General features: G+C 39.2%; 1 pseudogene; it reads left to right on the top strand.

The window, feature by feature from the left end:
* On the top strand, positions 1,210–1,931 carry IFNWP5 (interferon omega 1 pseudogene 5; annotated as a pseudogene).

Raw genomic sequence — 4,958 nt, 5'->3', positions numbered from 1 at the left:
TTTTTCAGTACCTGAAGATATCAACAGTGAAGGCTATGAAACAGTGAAGATGAGGGCCTGCCCCTCCCCCTGGGAGCTCTGTTCCAGAGAGGTACAACCTGTTGCCTCCTGCAACATACATGCAGGAGGTGGCTGGAGACCCCGGTGGGGATATCTCACCCACTGAGGAGAAACAGTATCAGGGACTCAGGTGAAAAAACAGTCTGGCCACTTTTTGGTAGAGCAGCTGTGCTGTGCTGGGGGTCTGCTACCACCGCCAGCACGAAGAATGGCATTTTCAAGAATGGCTAAGGCTGCTAAACGGCAACAAAGGCTACCTACCCTTCCCTTTGGGAGCGCCATCCCAGGGATATTCGAAACTGCGGTCCACTAGAAAACAGTGGTGGAGGTGACTGGAGACCCCAGTGGGGAGATTCCACCTACAGAAAAGAAACAGGATTTGGGATCGATGTGAATAAGCAATCTGACTGCTTCTCTGTAGAGCTGCTGGGCTGTGCTGGGTGGCTGCTCCAGTCCCTAGCTGCCTTGGACTCCCTAGAACACAAAGGCTCCAATAGCTAAGGCTGTGAAACAGCAAAGATAGCAGCCCACACCCTGCCGGTGGGAGCTCCATGTCAGGGAGGTGTGACGCTGCTACCAGTGTCTGGCTGGATTCCCAAGCCAGTGGGTCTTACCCTGAGACAGGCCATGGAAGGTGGGCCTGCCACTTGTCACTGCCCAGCACCCTGAATGAAACCCCTTTCCTAGGGGTATGTATAGGGGTCTAGCGTCCTGCTTGGCTGGAGTTATAGCTTCTTTTGTGGGGAAGCCTGGGTATCTAAGGCTCCAGGGTACCCATGCATGCCTGAGCAGCTGCTCTGCTGAAACCCTACGTAGCCCTGCATGTCAGACTGAAGGCTCTGGTAGAGTGGGTTCACTAGGAGATCTCCTGATCTGAGGATTGCAAAGATCCGTGAGAGAAGCATGGGTCCCCAGGGCTGCTGACTTACCACTTCCCTGGGAAGGAGAGGCTCCCCTGGCTCTGTGACACTCCTTGGTGGGCAGTCGTCCTGCCTTGCTTTGCTCTGTTCTCCATGGGTCAAGCTGTTGAGTCCCAATGTGTGTACCTGGATGTTTCAGTTGAAGGTGCTGTATTTACTTGCCCCTTCCATTTCTCTCCACGAGAGTGGCACACACTAGCAGCTTCTAGGTGGCCGTCTTGGCCAACCCTGAAAACTATTTGTTTCCAACTATAAGCCATGCATAAAAAGAATGCCTTGAGAGAACCTGGAGTCCAGGGTTCATCCAGACCCCAGCTCAGCTAGGCCAGCAGCACCCTCGTTTCCCAATGGTCCTACTGCTTCTACTGGTGGCCCTGCTGCTTTGCCACTGTGGCCCTGTTGGATCTCTGGGCTTTGACCTGCCTCAGAACCATGGCCTACTTAGCAGGAACACCTTGGCTCTTCTGGGCCAAATGCAGAGAATCTCCACTTTCTTGTGTCTCAAGGACAGAAGAGACTTCAGGTTCCCCCTGGAGATGTGGATGGCAGCCAGTTGCAGAAGGCCCAGGCCCTGTCTGTCCTCCATGAGATGCTTCAGCAGATCTTCAGCGTCTACCCCACAGAGTGCTCCTCTGCTGCCTGGAACATGACCCTCCTGGACCAGCTCCACACTGGATTTCATCTGTAGCTAGGATGCCTGGAGTCTTGCTTAGGGCAGGCAATAGGAGAGGAAGAATCTGTAGGGGTGATTGTGGCCCTACACTGGCCTTGAGGAGGTACTTCCAGGGAATCCATGGGAATCCAGAGAATCTACCTGAAAGAGAAGAAATACAGTGACTGTGCTTGGGAGGTTCTCAGAGTGGAATCATGAAATCCTTCTCTTCATCAACAAACTTGCAAGGACTGAGAAGTAAGGATGAAGACCTGGGGTCTGCTTTAGTCTTTCTTATTTTCTTCCTCTTCCTTACTATGTGTTTATTCCTTCTTTTTCTAGTTCCTTAACTTGTAAAGTTAGTTCATTCGTTTGAGGTCTTTCTTCTTTTTTAATATAAGCTTTTACAGCTTTCATTTTCCCCTCTACCTCTGTTTTCATTGCATCACATATGTTTTGGTATGTTGTGTTTTCATTTTCATCTCTCTCAAGATATTTTCTAAGTTCCCCTCTGGGCATTTTTTTTTTACTATACTTTAAGTTCCAGGGTAAATGTGCTCAACGTGCAAGTATGTGCCATGTTGGTTTGCTGTACCCATTAACTTGTCATTTACATAAGGTATTTCTCCTCTTACATGTTTATCACTTTTAGACCTACATTTGTTTTCTTTTTGTGCCCATAAATTAAGATGAAAAATCAGACCACTTTTACCTTGTAGGAAAAGTGAAGTGAGAAATATAAATATATTTGCTGTTGTGAATGCCACATAGAACGCCACATAGAATCATTGTATAGTCCATTTAAAAATTATATTTGTATTCTTTCATTGACACTAACGTGAATGTGAAAATGAAAGAAATCAAAGTATAGAAAAACCAATTTTCACGGTAGAATACAACATAAAAAATGAATATGCAAAAATTCCCAATACAATCTCAAGTGAACAAAGAAAAAATACTCTCTCCCCCAGTGTTTCAAAGACTAAGAATAATAACTCGGGCAAAATTGCCCTGTATTCTCAGGGTCTAATAAAAGGATGAGCCCAAAATTCAATAAAAATGTGTTGACTGGATCAACTACTAAATCAATGTACAAAATATACATTCCTGAAATGAAGGCTCCTCTAGTATGGAAACCCCTGTGCACATTTCGTAATGTAGAATATTTTAATTGTTCAATGATATAAAGAATTTAAGTGAATCATTTAAAATAATGAATAATAAAATGTGTTTGGTTATTTTCTAAAATTGATCCATTTCATAATTTCTACCTCATATAAACCAGCTCATTTTCTACCAGTGTCATCTAAAGATTATCACGAGATTTGAATCTGAAATTTATAAATGATGGAAAAATGATGTCACAAGTCTTTACAATTCACATACACATTCTTGGGATTTGATCCAGGGAAGGAAAGCTGTAGGATTATTTGGGGGAGAGAGGCTATTATTCCATACTTTTGGGAATAGTAAATTGTCTGATTCCTATAAACTGTGTGAATTGGAGAGTTTGAATTTAGATATGTGACTCTGTATTTGACACCAGGCTACTTATTTTCTATTATCACAAAGTAGAGGACAGATTAGAGATGAAGTCATAAATAGTTAATATAGTGCTAGGCAAAGGATGATATTATGCTGCTCTTGCAACTTGAATCCCCAGATCTACATGCACTTTAAAAAAACTGGAATCCCAGTGGTTTTAGCAGTAAACTAAATGGGCATTATTGACTCTCAGTAAAAGCTGAATGGAAATTTTTGTCATTATCTATTATAATCCCAGCAAATATGTGCATGAGGAAGCAAAATGGCTTCATTCTTGAACCCTTTCCAGTAGAAGAAAAAATGAGAAACTAGTAAAAACTCCACTTACTAAATAGCTGATTTGCTAAAGCAGACTTCATTCCATTTAAGGGTTCAGTATCTATAGGGCCTACTTATGCAAAAAAAAAAAAAAAAGTAGAGCCAGAGTTCAGGACCACTCTGAAAGTTAATTCTTTGCATAATAATATTCAATATTTATAAATTTATGAATTTAGAACAAAGATGGTCTTTTTTATTTGATAAGAATTGACTTGGATAGGAACTTCTGAAAATCTTTAGGGAATATGAACTTCAATGAAAAATGCCAAAAATGATTTAACTTATAATATTTCCTAAGTCACATATGTTTATTGGAATGATACTTCTTCGAAGAGTACAAAAATTAGTTCTTGTAGTTTATGTAAACAAATCTGACATATTACAATAGTTTGTGACTCTCCAACAACTCTATCCAACAAAATTTCATTGCTTAATATACATCTTTCTCATTGGATTTTCTTGTGTACGATATGAGAAGCACTGGTATTGAGTTCATGAAGGTAAACAAAATATTTGTAAGATCAGTGTTACAAACCTATGGCAAATAGATGACTGTGATTGAAGGACTTTTTGTCCATTTTTTGCTGGATCTTAAAGTCTTATCACAGTATGTGGCTTTAACCTGCATATATTTGGGCTGCCATTGACTATCTTATGGTTATTACTTATGTTTGATCCTCAGTTCTTCAGGATGTTTGGTAGACTTTGAGAATTCAATGCAAATAGCTTATGTTATATGATTTATTTCTACTAAAGTTATTCAACACATATACATTTATGTCAAGTGCTGAAAAGAAACAAGTGTTGGCAATATGTGGATGAATACTGCAGCTAGTGAAGTTTACAAATTATTTTCTCATATAAAGCAAAATTCAAAGCTTCATACACTAAGAGAAAAATTTTAAAAAATTATTGATTCTTATTTTTAGGAGTTTTGAATGATTAGGTATGTAATTATATTCATATTATTAATGTGTATTTATATAGATTTTTATTTTGCATAGGTACTTTGATACAAAATTTACATGAACAAATTACACTAAAAGTTATTTCACAAATATACTTATCAAGTTAAGTTAAATGTCAATAGCTTTTAAACTTAGATTTTAGTTTAACTTTTCTGTCATTCTTTACGTTAAATAAAAAAAGCAAACTTTATAGTTTTTATCTGTGAAGTAGAGGTATACATAGTATACATAAATACATATGCCAAATCTGTGTTATTAAAACTTCATGAAGATTTCGATTACAAAAAAATACCATAAAAGACTTTGAGTGCAGGGGAAAAATAGGCAATGATGAAAAACAATGAAAAACATTCTTAAACACATGTAGAGAGTGCAAAAAGAAAGCAAAAACAGACATAGAAAGTAAAACTAGGGCATTTAGAAAATGGAAATTAGTATGTTCACTATTTAAGGCCTATGCACAGAGCAAAGTCTTCAGAAAACCTAGAGGCCAAA

This window comes from Homo sapiens, chromosome 9 (assembly GCF_000001405.40).
Source record: "Homo sapiens chromosome 9, GRCh38.p14 Primary Assembly".
In the NCBI taxonomy this organism is placed as follows: domain Eukaryota; kingdom Metazoa; phylum Chordata; class Mammalia; order Primates; family Hominidae; genus Homo; species Homo sapiens.
The sequence above is the reverse complement of the archived record's forward strand: the minus strand, read 5'-3'. Positions and strand labels throughout refer to the sequence as shown.